The 19,686-nt window shown below is 40.6% G+C and overlaps 1 protein-coding gene across 3 annotated transcripts; it reads left to right on the forward strand.

Annotated features, from left to right (window-relative positions):
• The first annotated feature begins 2,966 nt into the window (after nucleotides 1-2,966).
• CD1A (CD1a molecule) lies at nucleotides 2,967-12,900 on the forward strand. Of its 3 annotated transcripts, XM_024450738.2 has the most exons (7): nucleotides 2,967-3,042; nucleotides 5,864-5,933; nucleotides 9,715-9,981; nucleotides 10,635-10,913; nucleotides 11,417-11,695; nucleotides 12,052-12,142; nucleotides 12,312-12,900. In XM_024450738.2, the coding sequence occupies exons 4-7, from the start codon at nucleotides 10,778-10,780 to the stop codon at nucleotides 12,319-12,321; spliced, it is 516 nt and encodes a 171-aa protein (XP_024306506.1). In that variant the 5' UTR covers nucleotides 2,967-3,042; nucleotides 5,864-5,933; nucleotides 9,715-9,981; nucleotides 10,635-10,777; the 3' UTR covers nucleotides 12,322-12,900. The 3 variants fall into 3 exon arrangements, with proteins under 3 accessions (XP_024306506.1, NP_001307581.1, NP_001754.2); NM_001320652.2 differs by lacking the exon at nucleotides 5,864-5,933; NM_001763.3 differs by lacking the exons at nucleotides 2,967-3,042; nucleotides 5,864-5,933 and adding an exon at nucleotides 9,055-9,358.
• The last annotated feature ends 6,786 nt before the right edge of the window (nucleotides 12,901-19,686 follow it).

Raw genomic sequence — 19,686 nt, forward strand, 5'->3', positions numbered from 1 at the left:
CACGCATATAACAGGCATTGCAAGATAAGTAAACATTTACGCAGCATTTTCAGAACATATTGGGAAAATAAAAGTCTTCCTAGCATAATATTTGTAAAGAATCCTCTTAAGGAGAACGTTGAGCAATCACATAGCAAAGCGTGTCTTCACCTACTTTCTGTATGATAATAAGGGCCCTGACAAACAAAAAAGCAACATTAATTACAACTGATACAAGAGTACCCCTGGCATCTCCCAAGTGTGTTACCTGTTATCCTTTAGTTATTGCTAGAACTGGTGAGAACTACTAAGCATGGCTAAAAAGATGTTGTCTGATTGCCCAAGAATTCTCATCAGCTTCTCACTGAGGAGTTAGGAGAAGTTGATACCTGAATGAGGTGTCATATGTGGTGCTCATTATGTCCAGGCAGTTTTAATCCTTTTTTATACCTTCATACATTCCTGAATTAAAAAATCACTTGAGATATTCTCACGAATATATGGTCTCACTGTCTAGGTCCTGCCTGATTATTGCAGACAAAAGTCTTGTGCTCAGAGTGAGCAAAGCCCTGCAAACAGTGAAAATATGGAGAAGAAAGATTTAATCAGGTTCATTCATTTCCCTATACTTTCTCTCATGAGAGAATTATCACACTCTATGACTGATTTACAGGTTTCTTTCTGTAGAGTTTGAGCTTTTATCTGTCTACTCTTTGTAATCTAAGTGTTTAGCATAACATTTGATATTTGTAGATGATTGTTTATAACTGAAATATAATAACTGAAATATAATAAAAAGGAACTTTGCTTTCTATTGTCTTATATTCTGAGTTACCTACATCTTTAAGTTTTTTTCTTCACTATGAAAAATAAAGATTATTTTAAAAACTCATTAATTCTGCTTTGGTGCTTTTGCCTTTTCTGAATCTAAACATTCATGTCTTTCATTATTTCTGGAAAATTTTCAGCCATGCTTTCTTTAAATATTTCCTCTTCCAATTGTGTGTTTTGTCTTTTAATGAAATTCCTATTGGGCTCATATTGGATTTCATACTAATTTTCATATATCTTAACTTCTTTCGTATTCAACACTTCTTTATCTCTATATTGCATTAGAGGAAATTCTTCAGCTCTCCCAATTTAGAAGTCTTTTTAAATTGCTTTCTGTCTTTGTTGTTTAATCTACTCATTGAGTTTTTATAGTAATTAGCGTTTATATTTCTAGAAGTTTAATTTGCTTTAAAATATGTTTGATATTTTTTGATAATGTCTTTTCAAACCTTTTGACTTTAAGGTTTTAAAATATAAATTCCTCTATATGTGATATCTTAGGGAAATGAAACTATTTATTCTGTCTGCCAACTTTCCTTCATCATGGAATCTTTCTCCCTGTGCTAAGTTTGGATGGTGACCTCATCTTAGGAAAGGCTTTTTGTGAAATATCCTTTGCAGCTTGTATTGAGGGTGGTTCTCTTGAGATAACTTTGCTTTAAATTCCACCAGGTGGCACACCTGGAATTACATTTGTTTTGTTTTGTTTTGTTTTGTTTTGAGACAGAGACTTGCTCTGTCGCCCAGACTGGAGTGCAGAGGCGCGATCTTGGCTCACAGCAACCTCCGCCTCCTGGGCCCAAGAGATTCTCGTGCCTAGGCCTCCTGAGTAGCTGAGATTACAGTTGTGCGCAACCACGCCTGGCTAATTTTTGTCTTTTTAGTAGTGACAAAGTTTCGCCATGTTGGCCAGGCTGGTCTGAAACTCCTGAACTCAGGTGATCCGCCCGCCTAGGCCTCTCAAAATGCTGGGATTATAGGTGTGAGCCACTGTGCACAGCATGGAATTACTTTTAAAATTAATTTCTTAGTTTGTGAATTTCAGGCTCATGCAAGTAGATACTTTTGAACTTCAAACTCAGACCTGTGATTAGCAATTCTCAGAAGGAGAAAAACCAAAAAACAATCCAATCCATATAATTGGATGGATTTTTTTTCTACTCTATTTGTCCATTCTATCACTGAAGTGAGGATATAGCAGAAGCCTCAGTTGCAAGTCTTATTACCTATTTTTTTTTTTTTAAATCCTAAGGCCTTGTTTCCTGATCCAAGTGACTAACAGTAGCCAAACTCCTAGGGATCTATACAAGACAATGCTTAATATGTCCAGGTGTGGATCCTGTTTGCCTTTCTGGGTTTCCATTTCTTTGCCCCCTAGAGAGCTTTCTTTATTTCATTGTAAATGCAGCTATGCATTTAAAAATAATTTTTAAAAATCTTGCATTTCTGGGTGTTTTGTGTTAGTATGTCTTTGCAGGTCATGTAGTGTGCTGTCTTTCCAGAAGCAGAATCCCTGGCTGTTTTATGTGTTACGCACAGAAATCCAAGGGTCATGTGACAAGGCAATGCTTCAGGTTAGGAAAGTGAGTCCAGGAGGAGGGACTGAGGTTAGATTGAATGGATAGGAAGTATGAGAAATTGAAGAGGAGGCTCTGGGAGCTGAGATAAAGGCTAAGGGAGGATGACAGTGAAGACAGAGAAGAGAGAGAAAGGTGGAGGAAGAACACATGTATGGGAAGGAACAGGAGCACAGTAAGACACAAAGAATAAGCCATAGTGATATTAGAGACTATTCAGTTCTTTCAATCTAGTTATTTTACAGATAAAGAAACTGAGGCCAAAGTGTTAAGGATCTCTCCAATTCAACACCTCCAACAGGTGTCCCATGTGGGGGTTCATCTTGACTCAGTCTACAGCTCCTTTTACTGTAAGAGATGTGCGTGAGAGGCCAGCAGCACACAGGCAGATAAAGCGAGTCCTTCCAGAAGCCAGAATGGCAAGGAAAAACTTGAAGCAGAGTGAGAGGGAAAATGAGAAGCCCAGAAAAGGCATGTGGTTATGAGAGGCAGTGGTTTCTGTGGCCAGGAAATTGAGGTTTCTGTTAGTGAAGAGGAGGAAGTCAGATGAGATGAGACCATGTGGGGAGGGGAGCTTTCATATCTGGGTTCTGAGGAGAGCTTCAATGGGGAAGGAAGAATTTAGGAGCCATGTTTGCGTTTGGAGGAGCAACAGGTAAGTGCTGCTACAGTGAACAGGAACATGCTTTTGGCCTGAACACCAATGGTTCAAGAAAGTGGATCCTGGGGAAAGGTTTGGTGGCAAAGGGAAGAATATGGACTTGCCTAGGATAGCTGGGACACCTGTCTGATTGAGTTCTAATCAGGGTATATGTTATTCACACTAGTTTGCTTCTCTGGGGTTTCCTGTGTCCAGGGAGTACAAAATTATCAGTGATTAGTGATAGCCATCCCCTTCTCTCTTAATTATTTTCCTTTTCTCCAGTTCTGGTCACCTTCCTTACCTATTTTATCTCTTGATTTTTCCCTAGCATTCTGCTCTTTCTCAGCCCCCACCCCCAATTTCTCAGCACCCCCAGCCAGCTCCCAAGAAGCCCTGTTCCCTTCTGTTCCCTCCTTCAGATCCTGCCCTGTACCCATCATAGCTGAGTGAACACTCAGGAGTGGAGTTGGCTGGGAAAATTGCAGACCCACAGTAGGACTACAGCTCTCACCAGCTGCTGCCTGCGTCTCTGATAAAGATCAGCTCTGCCCACAGAAAGCTGGGGTGGAGATACTTGTGGCTTGGCTCCACTTCTCTTTCCAATCTGTGCCCAACTTCCTCTTCTCCCGCTTCTTCCTTCTTTAGCATCTTTTATTTCCCTGGTGTTTCTGATCAGCTCATAAAACTTTGGTCCCAGAACTCCATTTCTCAATTAGTTAATTCTCTTTCTTTTCCTTATCAAACCTAAGCTGACTCCTCTTTGCTTTTCTGACCCCATATTCAACGGTGTAGGCCACATAATTTGTGGCGTTGTGCAGAATAGAAATCTGGGGCCCTGTCTTTCTCCATTCAGGCTGCTACAACAGAATACCACAGACTGGGTGGCTTATAAACAACAGAAATTTATTTCTCACAGTTTCGGAGGCTGGGAAGTCCAAGATCAAGGAAGATTCAGTGTCTAGTGGAGGCCTGCTTTCTGGTACATAGAGTACACTTTCTGGATGTGTCCTTACATGGTGGAAGGGGTCAGGGGTCTCTCTTGGGTCTCTTATAAGGGAACTGATCACATTCATGAGGGCTCCAATCTCATAATCTAATCACCTCCCAAAGGCCCCACTTCCTAATAACATAACATTGGGGGTTAGAATTTCAACATATGAATTTTGGGAAGACACAAAGATTCAGAACATAGCAGGTCTGTATTCAAATAGGCAGGAGAAGAGTGCTTTTAAAGGTATTAAAATATAAAACTTTTTCATTCCTTCTGAAGTTTCTCTCTCTTTCTGTCTCAACCTGTTATGGTGTTTTGTTTTGTTATTCTTGTTTGTTTAATTTGCTAATGTTGTACCCCTTGGGCACAGGGATACTCACAGTGTGAGCACAGAGGCTCTTAGGTGCCTGGGGGCCGCACTCCATGACTCCGGCGCATGCAAGCTGCCCACTGGCTGCTGGGTTCCCCTTGCTGGGAAGAGGAAGTCAGTCTCTCCTTCCCACAGTGGCCACTCCAACCCTCCACAGATGGGTGACCACCATGAAATTGCAACCACTGTATGGAGATGCACTTGATTCTTGGATCAAGGGTGGGAAAGCATGTCGTCCTGATCTGTCTCAAAACACTCTGTGGTGCAGCCTGGGTGGGGATGGCTAAAGCCAACCTCTGTGCAGACACTGTGGGATGCATGCCCCCAAATCTTATTCTCCCTGTGTCCCTGGCAAAAGCAAGGGAATTGTGAAAGGTGATGGCAGAAGGGGCCACCTCTGCTGATGAGATCAGACGGCTGTATGGGCAGACAGTGGCAGGGTAGTGGTGGACAGGAGGGCAAGAATTGCCTGTGGCCCCAGACATTGGGGAGCAGATGGCAGAGAATCAGTGCTGGGGAGGTGAAGTGATGGGAGCCAAGACCACATGTCAGCAAAGAAGCCCTCACACAAGTTTTTTTTGGCTCATTTGACTTCATTTATAAAACACACATTAAGATAAAATTATGAAGAATTTAAGGATGATGATCATAGGGCATCAACTATGATGCTGCATTGGTTGCGTGCCCCATGAAGCAAGCCCGGGATATACAATACACCGATTAACTCACTATTTGGGGGATGATCCTGACTTTGTCTCTTTACAACCTTCGGAAAATTTTGCCTCTTTCAGACTTTCCATCCTACAACTCTGGTTAGCTCAGTCTTCCCCAACCATTTCTGCCATCTTCCACCTTGGTCTCAGTCATGCGGATGTCTTGTGCCTGATCAGACCAATGTTGGTCCTCTCTTCCTATCTCTCTCACCTTTTCATTCCCTGCTCTTTGCATTAACTTGGGAAACATTTGTGTGTGTATGCTAGCTTTAGTGCCCTCATTTTGTTACCTTGGCGTGAAGTCTGCCGTCCCTGCAGCTCTATTTCATTTGAATGAGGGAGAAGCCTCATAAAGTTTTAAAAGAGCTTTTTAAGGATTACAGTCCCTATATCTCTAAGGTTTTCCCAGGACCCATTCCACATGAGAAATCAGGATAAGCTTGCTAAACTTGTACAGCTGACCCTTGAATAACATGGGGGTTAGGAGTGATGACGGCCCCGTGCAGTCAAAAATCCATGTATAACTTTTGACTTTTCCAAATCTTAACTATGAATAGCCTACTATTGGCTGGAAGCCTTACTGCTAACATAAACAGTTGATGAACATATATTTTGTATGTTATATGTATTATATATGATATTCTTAAAGTAAGCAAGAGAAAAGAAAATATTTTAAAGAAAATCAGAAGGGAGAGAAAATATATCTGCTATTTATTAAGTGGATCATCACATGTTCGTCTTCATTGTCTTCATGTACAGTAGGCAGAAGAGGAGGAGGAAGAGGAGTTGCCTTGTCTTAGTGGTGGCAGAGTCAGAAGAAAATCCACGTGTGAGTAAATGCACACAGTTGAAACCCATGTTATTCAAGAGTGAACTGCAGTGTGAGGGTTTGAGTCAATCTAGTCTGGAGCTAACTGGGTTTGCTGTTTTGCTGTTGCTGCAATAGTCTTCAAGTTCCTCTACATTGCTCTGTTCCTAGGGTGGGGCTGGTTTGCCAGAAGGTTTTGTTAATGTCTCCACTCTCAGGTTTTGGTGTTTCCTTTGTGAAATATCTCTAGAGGACCTACCTCCATGCTTTCCATTCTTCTAGCTGCAGACTCGTCTTGTAATTGATATTTATGATACTGCTTGGGAGAAGGAGTAAGAGCACTGTCTTTTGTTCTGGTGCAGTCTCATTCTTAGGCAGGTCAGTTGTTTTTGAATTTTTTGAAGTTTTGTCATGTAAGTGTTCCTGCCTTTCTTCCAGCAGTTTGGGACCTCTAATAGTCTGGAACCAGGATGTTTTCTCGTTCTTTCCCATTGTTTTTCTTCTCCTCAGCTGCAGTGGGTTTTCACATATGCCCTGAGGGCAGCAGGGCTTTCTGCCCTTTCCCCACCAGGTTAGGGCTTTTTTTTTTCTTTTAGATGGAATATTGCTCTGTCACCCAGGCTGGAGTGCAGTGGCGCGATCTCGGCTCACTGCAACCTCCGCCTCCCGGGTTCAAGTAGCTGAGACTACAGGTGTGCACCACCACAACTGGCTAATTTTTGTATTATTACTACAGATGGGGTTGCACCATGTTGGCCAGGTTGGTCTCGAACTCCTGACCTTGTGATCCGCCCACGTTGGCCTCCCAAAGTGCTGAGATTACAGGTGTGAGCCACCGCACCCGGCCACGGTTTTTTTTTTTTTCTATGTTGCAATAGAGGAGATGGGTCTGGTTGGGACTTACTACCCTTCCCATGCAGTAGCTGTTCTCATACCTCAGGCCCGCATCATGAGAGAGGATTTATCTGGTCTACATCTCTGACCCTAATGTTTCAGAAGACCCTGGTGAGGTTCATAGAAAAAGGCTTAGAGACTGATGCGAATTTCCCTGTTTTTGTGACTCCCAGGGCTTCTATATACTCATGCTAGCCTTTACTAATTTGTCTAAAATTTTAGCTGAATTCTTATTCTTACTGGCTTGTATAATATCTGGCATCTGTCCCAAGTAAACAAGGGTTTGCATTCCATCTGTCCTTTGAGGAGTCTGTCTTTCTTTATATTTTGGGTTAACTGGTTGCCTTGATATTTCAGTTCTTTGATAAATTCAAGTTATGATTTTGATAATCTGGCTTCAAAAAATTATAAGTATGAAAATGAAGCTCTTTCCAGCTTTTTGCATGCTAATCTTAACTTTAAAAAAATTATCTGTAATCCCAGCACTTTGGGAGGCTGAGGCAGGTGGATCATCTGAGGTCAGGAGTTTGAGACCAACATGGTGAAACCCCATCTCTATTAATAATATCAAAGTTAGCCAGGCATGGTGGTGCATACCTGTAATCCCAGTTACTTGCAAAACCGAGGCAGGACAATTGCTTTAACCTGGGAGGCAGAGGTTGCAGTGAGCTGAGATCATGCCACTGAACTCCAGCCTGGGTGACAGAGTGAGACTCTGTCTCAAAACAAAACAAAACAAAACAAAACAAAAAACAAATAAAAAAATTATTTGCAGGCCATGCCTGGTGGCTCATGCCAACAATCCCAGCACTTTGGGAGGCTGACACAGGAGGATTGCTTGAGGCCGGGAGTTGGAGGTTACAGTGAGCTATGATTATTCCACTGCACTCCAGCCTGAGTAACAGAGTGAAACCCTGTCTCAAGAAAAAAAATTTTTTCCCCCTAAATTAGCTTCAGATACTTTTTTTTTGAAAACCAAAAAATAGTAAATAGCCCAGACACATTTATATGGATGATATCTACAAAGCACAAACATATATTTAGAAGCCCTTCAACAGTTACAAGCAGCGTAAAAGAGGAATGTAAATGTGTCCGGCAAAGACTCATTTATAACAAAACAACCCTGAAACATCCAAATAGGACTAATAAAAAGGGATCCTGGGATAAAGACTTTGGAATACTCCATTAACTTCACTGCTCACAAGTTCTGACTAGTTTCTTATAAGTAATAGGACATTTATAGCAGGATCTTTTATGTAAATCTCATGCCAGTAACTTGTACTTTTATCCTAAATAAAACTGTATGAGATTCTCATCTCACTACATAGGGTTACAAGTAACTTTTATGATATCTTTAAAAAGTTTCATGTTGAATATCACCTCCATAATTAAAAAATGGATGCATAGACTGAATTCATTCATTCATTTGACAAATATTCACTAAGCACCTACCACTTGTGAGATACTCTGTTAGGTGGGGATACAGTATGATAACTGTATGGAACTAACACTCCAAGTCAAACATTGAAGTCAAAATTCTGGGCTGGCGTACATTAGTTAGGAGCCCCCATTTTAGAAAATATTATTTCAAGCAGGCCTTGTTTTTATCCAGAGAGTGTATACAGTATAATAAAACTCAGTACACCAAGATTTATATTTCATGGCGTGTTTTTCTCCCTAAGTAGAGAAAAAGCTCCTTCAGTAAAGTGATTGTGTTGTCAACCACTGCATATTCTTAAGTGTACCAAGATGCTTGACTCCAGGCAGGTGCTAAGAGAGACTGTTGGGTGAGTGAATGTATATCAATGAAAATCAAACAGAGGAAATTTTCTTTATATGTTTTAGTGTTCCTGTGGTTTTTTTTTTTTTTTTTTTTTTTTTTTTTTTTTTTTTTTTTGTGATGGTTACTGGCTCTTCTCTAAGAATAATGGAGAAAAGGTGTTAGTTTGTACTGTCGCACAGGGCAGTCGTAGGAGACTCTGAAAAAGCAAATAAATCAATGTTAAATCAGAAATGTGAATGTAGTAAGGGGCTGAAGAGACAGGGGAAGAGAATACATGGGAAAATATTGAAAAGGACAGAGTGATCAAAAAGAGCAGGGACATGGGAGCATTGGGCAGCACACTGGGAGCCATTTCACTTTATGCTCTTATTGTATGATTGAGAAAAAAATGTCCTTAGTGGTTAAGTGGCTTTTCAATGCCACATCAGACTTGTTCCATAGCAGTTGAATTAGGGGAAGGTGAATAAGTTGGAGGTTGGTGACAAGGAGAGAAGCTGGAACAGAGAGGAGAGTCAGAACCAGAGGGAAATGAGAGACTGAGTAGGCATCTCAGGGTTTTTGAAGGAGTGGATTTTCTTTGTTGCAGTCAGGGGAGGTTTGTCTGTTGGCTGCAGAAAGAAGTCAGAATAGAGATATCGTGGGGTAGGTTTGTTTGGAACAGAAATCAAAGACCAATTTTTCTGAGAGAAGGAAATAACATCTGCAAATGATATGCTGTTTTTGCTACTTCCATTGTTAGCTGTTCTCCCAGGTGATGGCAATGCAGACGGTAAGAACTCTGACAACTGCCCAGTTGGGTGGTGGGTGAAGGTCTCTCTCTCTCTCTCTGTGTGTGTGTGTGTGTGTGTGTGTGTGTGTGTGTGTGTGTGTGTGTGGTTTCCCTAGCATATACCTGGAAAGTGAGAGTGCCAGGCTGGTTCCATTCTGACTATCCATGACTCCAGGTCCCTGAGCTCTTATGAAGGTGGTTGATAAGGCATGGGACTGTGTGGCAAGTGAATGTCTGCTAAGATCATGATGGATCCCCTTTTCTCCAGATTCTGAGTTCCCGCACTCTGGCACCTTTCTCTCTCCATCCTCTTTCTCAATGTCTTTCTCCCCATTCTATCTGTTCTTTTGTCGCAGGGCTCAAGGAGCCTCTCTCCTTCCATGTCACCTGGATCGCATCCTTTTACAACCATTCCTGGAAACAAAATCTGGTCTCAGGTTGGCTGAGTGATTTGCAGACTCATACCTGGGACAGCAATTCCAGCACCATCGTTTTCCTGTGCCCCTGGTCCAGGGGAAACTTCAGCAATGAGGAGTGGAAGGAACTGGAAACATTATTCCGTATACGCACCATTCGGTCATTTGAGGGAATTCGTAGATACGCCCATGAATTGCAGTTTGAATGTGAGTTCAGTTTTCTCCATGGAGAGTGGTGAGGTGGGAGAGAGGGGTTGTCTCAATGTTTCTTATTCCTTTAGGAAACAGCCTGACTCTCTTCTGTATCTTATTCTATTCTTTCCACCATAAAACTGCAATTGCATACTTTTGGGCAAGGGCTATCATCCAGACCTTAATTCTCCAAACACTTCTGCTACTTATGAACTCCTCTCTCATTGATTGCAGGGTTGTGCATTATTATCTTTTCTTACAGGTATCCCAGGACCACCCTTCTGCCTGCCCTACAACCAGATACCTTCAGCTTTCTCACTTTCTCATTCATTCTCTTCAGCAGTCTCTCTATATATACTCAATTGTAACCCATTGCATTTAATTCAACCTAAGTTGTTATAATCCCAGTTCTCTTACACCAGGTCCTTGCTCACCCACAGCATTCACATCACCTTCTTTGACCAGTTTGCCCTCTTCCTCATGTTATTAATCTTTTCCTCCACCTACAGCTCCCACCAATTCCTCTTTCTCTGAATCCCTGACCAAACCAAATTTTATTCCATTATGTCAAACCCTGCACACTTCCCCCTTCTGCTTCTATAATCTTTGCTTCTACTCATTTCATTTTATATTTTTTTCTCCCTCTTTCCTCTATTTCATAACCCCAGATCCTTTTGAGATACAGGTGACAGGAGGCTGTGAGCTGCACTCTGGAAAGGTCTCAGGAAGCTTCTTGCAGTTAGCTTATCAAGGATCAGACTTTGTGAGCTTCCAGAACAATTCATGGTTGCCATATCCAGTGGCTGGGAATATGGCCAAGCATTTCTGCAAAGTGCTCAATCAGAATCAGCATGAAAATGACATAACACACAATCTTCTCAGTGACACCTGCCCACGTTTCATCTTGGGTCTTCTTGATGCAGGAAAGGCACATCTCCAGCGGCAAGGTCAGTCCTGCACTCTCCCTCCAAGAAGTTTTGATTTGAAAATCATACCCTTCCACCACCTCCTTCCAATTTAGAATAAGGAAGAGCCACCCAGAAGTGGGAAAGGCTGGGTGCAGTGCCTCACATCTGTAATCCCAGTACTTTGGGAAGCTGAGGCTGGAGGACTTCTTAAGGGCAGGAGTCCCAGACCAGCCTGAGCAACAGAGTGAGACCAGTGTCTCTAAAAAATAAAAATAAGTTAGCCAGTCATGGTGGTACACACCTGTAGTCCCAGTTACTTAAGAGGCTGAGGCAGGAGGATCGCTTGAGCCTAACAGTTTGAGGTTACAGTGAGCTATAATTTATAATTATGCCACTGCATTGCAGCATAGTGACAGAGTGAGACCCTGTCTCAAAAAAAAAAAAAAGAGAAATGGGAACAATGTGTCTATCTAAACTTCTAAACTGTTGTGGAGATATGAAACTCCAAGTCTGTATTTGAATATCTTTTCTGTCCTTTGCAGTGAAGCCCGAGGCCTGGCTGTCCCATGGCCCCAGTCCTGGCCCTGGCCATCTGCAGCTTGTGTGCCATGTCTCAGGATTCTACCCAAAGCCCGTGTGGGTGATGTGGATGCGGGGTGAGCAGGAGCAGCAGGGCACTCAGCGAGGGGACATCTTGCCCAGTGCTGATGGGACATGGTATCTCCGCGCAACCCTGGAGGTGGCCGCTGGGGAGGCAGCTGACCTGTCCTGTCGGGTGAAGCACAGCAGTCTAGAGGGCCAGGACATCGTCCTCTACTGGGGTGAGAAAAAGCTAAGGCCCAGGCTGGAAATGCCAGGAAGTGGACCTCAGGCATAGAGGGAGGGCAAGCTGAAAATTTTAGGATTTTAGGGATTATAGCCCAAACATGAATAAAAATAGATAATCTAAGAAATGGAAATGTTGAAAATGAGGGCCCTGTAGATGCAGGAGGATGCTGAGGGTTAACTGAAGAATCCATCTCTGAGCAGGGATGAGAGAAAAACATAGAAAAAAAGGAGATTGGTAAGTTGGATACTCAAATGAAAAAAAGAAGCCCAGGGAATGCAGTGAAATAGGGAGTGGATGAGGTAAAATGGGATGGATTATAACATCCTTGGTGTCTCCCCAAATTCACAGAGCATCACAGTTCCGTGGGCTTCATCATCTTGGCGGTGATAGTGCCTTTACTTCTTCTGATAGGTCTTGCGCTTTGGTTCAGGAAACGCTGGTGAGTTCTTTGCATGTGTCTTTCCTACTCTTAGCCTCTACCCCACTTTTCTTCCCATGTTTTTTGTTTTTCTCTCCTCAGTTCTTCTCTCCCCAGTCCCCTTCCCTCTTGCTCCTCAATTCTCAGCTCCACCTTATTCAGAGTGACTTCTATCTCTGTTCTCATCCAGTTTCTGTTAAGACACACCATGAGCCTCCTCGTCACCCTTCTCCTTTTGGGGTGAGAGACCAGCAGCCCAAGGGCTCCAGACACACCTGAACACATCGTGATGATGACGTCCTCTCAACTCTCTTTGTAAAAATTTTGTTATTTTTGCTTGTTTCTGATTAATGATTGTTTGTCAATATAAGCTCAATTTAATTTTGCAGGATTTGTTGTTCTGACCTGGGTTCTGGGACTTTTAAATTCAAATTTTATCTCCAGATGGAATGGGGTCCTAGCAACCTCCACATGTTCAACTATTAATGGATCATCAGGCCTGTTTTAGATATCCCTTACTCCAGAGGGCCTTCCCTGACTTACAAGTGGGAAGCAGTCTCTTCCTGGTCTGAACTCCCGCCACATTTTAGCCGTACTTTGCTAACTGTGCTCCTCACTTCCTCTTCTTCATTGCAGTTATTTAGATCCCCCCTTTCCTTCTAATTTTTCAGCTCCTTCAATGCAAAGTACATGTATTTTTAATATATGCATCCCTGGTGAAGGATCTTGCCTGCATGAAACATGTTCTCAATAAAACTCTGTGTTGAATTTATGCCAAATTTGTAGTGTTTTCTTATTCTTTTCCTTCCTGGTGCTTTTGAAGTAGTTGAGACATTTGATACTCTTCTGCTTAAAAGTCTTCTCACTTGGAGGAAATTTTACACATTCCTAGTTCTATAGTTTGTTCTCTGAGCTCCAGAGGAGAAACACAATTTTGCCTCTTACTACTCCTATCATTCAACTATAGAGAGCTCTTCGAGTTAAATTATTGTTCCAGGTATGCAAGGCAGGATGTATATCTTTACTATTCAGTGGTTCAGGGAAAAGCAGCAGAGTTCTCACATTGGAGCTTGTTAGAAAGGTAGAATGTGGGCCTCACCTTAGGTTTACTGAATTATAATTTGTGTTTTGGAAAATCAGCAGGATACTCACATGTCCATTAAAATTTGTGAGGCACTGATGCTGGTGATGCCTGAGATGTAGTACAAGTGTGTCACTGAATTGAAAATGATCAAAAAAGGGAACAAGAGTGTTACTCCTGAAGATTGAAGTGAGATCAAGGCAAGTAATGTACCTACTGCACCTTCTCATTATTCATGGCAGTTATGTTGTGTGCAGTTGCTGCAAATACTGAATTTGTGAGCAATGAGCCATTGTTCCCAGGGGAAATACAGGTGTTAGGCTCTTGTGAGATTTTTCACAACATTTTTGTCAACTGGTGAATACATAAGCTGGTTTTATGTGTGTTTCTGTTTAAAAACATCTTATTTTATATATGTATATATAATTAATTCATTATATGCAGTATTTCTTTATAATAAAACACTATCTACGAAGTGTTTAATATATTCCTGACCTTGGTTAACATGATCACAAATTTCTTTGGTTTTCAGCTTCACAACATTGCTGTCCACTACACTTAAAAAAAATGGTTGTCATTTCATGAATCCACAAATGTAGCTATTTTCCCATAGCTTCAGCATAGCATTATAGATGTTACTTTCCCAAGCAGCCTCACCTACAGATGGGTGAATTTCCTCCCCCTTTTCCTGCATGTACTGCACTGTTGATTTATTTTTATTTATTTATTTATTTTATTTATTTATTTATTTATTATTTTTATTTATTTATTTATTTATCTCTGTAAGGCATGTCACAGCTTTCTTATGCTTAGGAAAATGCGACAGCACTTAAGCACTACACTTGGGACCATTTAAGATTGTGAAATCACCAACCAAAAACCCAAAAATGTGCAGAAGTTGGCACTATATAGACTACAAAAAGGACACTTGTTTACTGTGTGAGAGCTGGAACATGAAGACAAAGCACCACCTTTTTCGACCTTAGTTAGGAACATGTTCTTTGGGGGACTCAAATTTTGTACCTCACTGCATATATTCATGAATGATTGTGAATATGCTATGAATATATATCTAGGGGTTACAAATAAAATTTGGCAAGTAGACAAATTAGCAAATATAACATTTTTGAATGATGAGGATTGACTATTGACCCCAGATGGTAGATGGTAGTATTTGTCAAGATATCCATAGCTAGACTTCAATTACTTTAGGATTCATGAATTCAACAAATATTTCTTATGATTCTGCAGGTTGCCACTTTCATTTCTTGTTGTTTATTTCTCAGTTTTCTAGTATAGTAACTTATTAGAGTTGAACTTGGGGAAAAGGACTTAGCTCTAATTTGTTTAGGATACTGAGAAGAGGGGCCCAAGGCAAGGGAAACATCCAGGCAGACCAGGTGCAGTTGGCAGTGGCTGCGTATATGGAAATTTTTGGAAACTGAACTTGTAATGGGTGAAGGGGAAAAGAAAAATATGGGATAGAGGAGAGCAAAGAATGGGACAGCTGCAGTCTTTTTACCTGTGTTTGACATGATTGGTTCCAACCCATTTGGGTTTGAATCCACCTTGCCACATTTGCATAGTAGTCATCTGGCTTTTGGTTGGTTGATACCACCTTCAGCTCTAGTGGTCAGCCTAAGGCAATCATGATAACTCATTCTTTACAATGTGATAGGCTAAAGGATGGAAGGTAACCTGAGATTTAAGCCAATCATCATATAGATCCCACTTACCCTTGCTCAGAGTGGTGGTTCAGGGCTATGTACTTGTTCTAAAATGACACTGTTTACATGACGCCTGATTCTTGTGTTTGACAATAGGGAAAAGAGAGGCTCTCTCTTGTCCTGGATGGTATGGTGTGAGGTATAGAGCTTGAAACAGCTCAAGTCATTTTTTTTTCAGCACCAGAGAAATCACACAGGCAAGAAAGTAGAGGCAACGGACTCTCAGAAGAGTCCAGATTAAACTGTATCCAAAGCCTGAATGAACCCTGGACTTCTCAGTGATGTTAGATGATACATTTCCTTTACTGTTTCAGCCTATCAAGTTGGGTTTTCTCCTGTTTGTGCTTGAAAGCATCCTATCTGATGTACATGGACCCTAGGGGACACTTAGCTGATTTTACTCTTGGTTGAAGTATTCCTCTTTATTTCCATCTTCCTCCTCCTCCCTTCTTGGGATTGGCTATACTTTAAAATTGATTTCTTTTCTTTCGCAGGTTGAGTATTCTTTATCTGAAATGCTTGGAATCACAGGTGTTTCAGATTTCAGATTTTTGGGGGGGCTTTAGAACATTTCCATACACCCACCAGCCGAGCATCCCTAATCTGGAAATCTGAAACTTGAAATGCTCCAACGAGCATTTTCTTTCAGCATCGTGTCAGTGCTCAAAATGTTTTAAATTCTGGAGCATTTTGCATTTCAGATTTTCACATTAGGAATACCTGACCTGTAGTTTTTTTCTTATATGTGTGCTTATCTTTTTAAACTCTTACACTGTCCTGTTTTTAACTATGCTGCCTGAATTAATTACTCTCTTGAACTTTTCATATATTTCTGACCAGGAATAAAAGTGCTGCATCTGCTGCTAAGTGAGTGACTTTGGAAAGGTTCCCTGATCTTCCTTCTTTTCTTTGGTTAAATGGAGGCAAAAATATATACTCTTAGGATTTTCATAGGAATGCAAAGGCAACCTAGTGTTATTAAAATGCCAGGAGTTTGGTCTACGGCCTGCTGCTTGCCACATAAAAACCAGTTACCGAGGCAATGAGTATTGCCTTTAATTGACTGCTGCAGCCGAGGAGATAGGAAATCAATCTCAAATCCATTTCCTTGATTGACTAAAATTAGGGATTTATAGGGCAGGGAAGAAACAGAACCCTGTGTGGCAAAATAGGAATTAGGGAGAGGTAAGGAAGAAGAATTGGTCAACAGCAAGCAGGTGGTTGCTTAAGCAATCATGATGGGTGAGGAGTCTGGCATCTCGTTGTCCAGATGCGGTAGATTGGTAGGTTTTAGTTGTTTTTGACAAGGTTTAGTTCCCTGGCTGGGAATGTATTGCTAGTAACTTGGCTGCTGTGGGCAGGGAGAGTCTCAAAAGTCCTCCTAAGCAGCTGCCCAACACTTTTTTGGCTACAGGTGGGTGTTGGTTTTTCTTTCTCTGGCCCTACCTCTGCCAGCCCCAGCTGTGTTTCTGATTGCCTAGGAAGAGCAGCCTTTGAAATGTGTCATCTGAGTCTGGATGGGTGAATGTCTTTTGTGGGTACCAGACAGTGGGATCTTCTCCTCTCAATTTGGGGAATTCTGGAGGAATTTCCATTTGCAGGTTGAACAAGCCCAACTGATTGATATTGGAACTCGTTGGTTGCTGCAGCAATTGGACAGTGTTTTAGTGATTGCTTGTTTATTTGTGTGTGTTAATATAGTCACAGGAAATCAGAATTTGATAAACTGATAATATTTTGTAGCACTGTTTGGCTTCAGTGTTCTTTGGAATCTGGAGAAGTTTGGCTTCTCCATGGGTCATGCTGTTGAGTGAGACAGTGGAACGGTGTTATGGTGTTACATGTATCTAAGCTTTTAGGCTGCTGTTCTAAGCAGGGTTGGACCTGGTTAGTACATGATGTTCTTCTATAGTGCTGTTTGGCCCTAGTGGTCTTTGGAGCCTGGGGAAATTTAGCCTTTAATAATCAAACGGCCATGGAAACTGCTTTACCCAAATTTTGGTTCAAAGCTTTCATTGGATTACATATTGGGGCAAACAAACTTGAGCCATGTGAACATGTTCCTAAACCAGTGGTTTGGTATTGCTATCTCATGGCTAGAGTTCCAAGGTAAAAGCTATTGGATCTTTGTGTGTGTATGTGTATACATGTTTATATGTGTTTATGTGTATGTACATTTATTATGTTGTATGTTGTGTCTACCAAATTGGCTTATAAATAAAAGAGCATCTTATACACTAAATAAATAAATCTAAGGAATTTTCAATTTTATGTGACTTAAGTAAATGTTTATTTAAAAAGCTGGCTTTAAAGTCATTAGTAATAAAAAAATAAGAATGTCTTAACAGTGTTAGAATACATTTTCGTCTGGGTTTTATAATTGTCTTTGCTAGATACTTTGAGGTGTCAGTGTTTGGCACAGAGGGTTATAAAAGTATAAACCCAGCCAAAACAAAATGATCTTTGTTTGTGTGCCTTCTTTGGCAAATAAGACTAAGTAAATGTTGTTAGTTTAATAAAAACAGTTGAATCTTCTAAGTTATTGGCAAAAATACCTATGTATTTAAGTTGCTTACTTAGGTGAGCACCTAATATTCATAGGCTACAAATAATGGTCAACAGAGCAATAACCTGAAATGACGACTACCTTTGTCTAATATCTCAGTTTTCAGAACCCACTTATATAAATTTTTTTTTTTCTTTTTTTGAGACGGAGTCTCGCTCTGTCGCCCAGGTTGGAGTCCAGTGGCGCGATCTCGGCTCACTGCAAGCTCTGCCTCCCGGGTTCGCGCCATTCTCCTGCCTCAGCCTCCCGAGTAGCTGGGACTACAGGCGCCCGCCACCAGGCCCGGCTAATTTTTTGTATTTTTAGTAGGGACGGGGTTTCACCGTGTTAGCCAGGATGGTCTTGATCTCCTGACCTCGTGATCCGCCTGCCTCGGTCTCCCAAAGTGCTGGGATTACAGGCGTGAGCCACTGCGCCTGACCTATAAATTGTTTAAAAAGATGAAAGAATTGAATACATGTAAATGGGATACATGCTTGTAGGTGAGCTTTTTGTGTAATTTAAAATCTTAAAATTATTTTTGATGCTTCTTGGATGTCTGGCTCATTTCCAGTTAAGAAAGGGTTATGATATGGAGAAACATGTTTTTATAAATTGTGGAATGTTTTCATCTATAAAATGCAAATATTTGATAGACAGTTAAAGATTTCTTGCTTCCTAGTTTTCACTAAAATTTAAGGTTACTAAGAATAAGAATTGTAGTTAATATATAATTTAGTATATAAAACCTGCCAAAGAAGGTGTTTTCTTATTGAGAAATGGAATAATTTTGTCTAATTCAAATGTTTTCTAAAGTTTGATCCCAATTATGGACTCGAAAAACTTATTTATGAAATAAGGTAGAAAGGAACCAGCAAGTAGGGAAGAGAGATGTGAAGAAAGTTAAGAACATAAAGATGTATTTTTGGCAAGAAAGGTTAAAAAGAAAAGAGGATAATTTTATACAAGTATCTTTTCTTTTAGACTTTTATTTTAGGTTTGGGGTACGTGTGCAGGTTTTTTATATAGTAAACTCATGTTGTGGAAGTTTGTTGTACAGATTATGTCATCACCCAGGTACTAAGCTTAGTACCCAATAGTTATTTTTTTCTGCTCCTCTCCCTCCTCTCATCCTCCATCCTCAAGGAGGCCCCAGTGCGTGTTGCGTGTTGTTTTCTTCTTGGTGCTCATGAACTCTAATCATTTAGTTCCCACTTAAAAGTAAGAATATGTGGTATTTTGTTTTCTGTTCTTGCATCAGTTTGCTAAAGATAACGGCCTCCAGCTCCTTCCATGTTCCCACAAAAGATATGATCTCATTCTTTTTTATGGCTGCATAGTATTACATGGTGCATAGGTACTACATTTCCTTTATCTAATCTGTCGTTGATGGGCATTTAGGTTGAATCCATGTTTGCTATTGTGAATAGTGCTTCAGTGAACATTTGTGTGCATGTGTCTTTACGGTAGAATGATTTATATTTCTCTGGGTATATACCTAGTAATGGATTGCTGGGTTGAATGGATATTTCTGTTTTCAGCTGTTGGAGGAATCACCATACTTCTTTCCACAATGGTTGAACTAATTTACACTCCCACCAACAGTGTATGTGTGTCCCCTGAGAAAACAATCTGACAGCATTTTTTTTTTCCTAAAAATAAATGAATTTTTTAAAAAAAATTTAGGACAAAACAGAAAGTTCAAGCATGACACAGATGCCTTGTTGAAGTCATATGTTGTTTTCTTTCTGTTTCTCTGTGTGTTTATCTTCATGTACATAAACAGAAAATAAAAAGTTGAAAAGTTTATATAGTAAATATCCTTTAAAAACTGATAGAAAATTGGAGACATTTGACTAATTAACATTGTTCACCGTTAAAGCTCTTAGTCTTGATGAAGGTACAATAAGAATTATTATAAATAAATACATTGGCAGTTTGATAATTCTTTTTAAATATAGTTAAGCCTGAAGCCAGATTTAACATGGAGTCAAATTTTACATAAATGCTTGCATTGCTTTGTTTCACACTGTATTTGTTATTCTACATAGAAAGTACTAGCACTAAGGTACTTATTGGTTACATGCCTAAAGTGAATTTCTTAATTGCACAAAATGTAGAGTGGTACTGGTGGACTTAAACACATTAATTAGTATATCAGAAACAGAATATCATATTTTTTTAGGCCCTGGATAACACTGTAGACTCCAAG

Source organism: Homo sapiens, chromosome 1 (genome assembly GCF_000001405.40).
Source record: "Homo sapiens chromosome 1, GRCh38.p14 Primary Assembly".
Lineage (NCBI taxonomy): Eukaryota > Metazoa > Chordata > Mammalia > Primates > Hominidae > Homo > Homo sapiens.

What these genes read in the sequence shown, in the direction of transcription:
- CD1A (NM_001763.3), top strand. Translation starts at nt 9,301, where the DNA reads ATGCTGTTTTTGCTACTTCCATTGTTAGCTGTTCTCCCAGGTGATGGC. An exon ending in CCATGAATTGCAGTTTGAAT is followed by an intron (nt 9,982 to 10,634) that starts GTGAGTTCAGTT and finishes TCATAACCCCAG; the next exon opens with ATCCTTTTGAGATACAGGTG. An exon ending in GGACATCGTCCTCTACTGGG is followed by an intron (nt 11,696 to 12,051) that starts GTGAGAAAAAGC and finishes CCAAATTCACAG; the next exon opens with AGCATCACAGTTCCGTGGGC.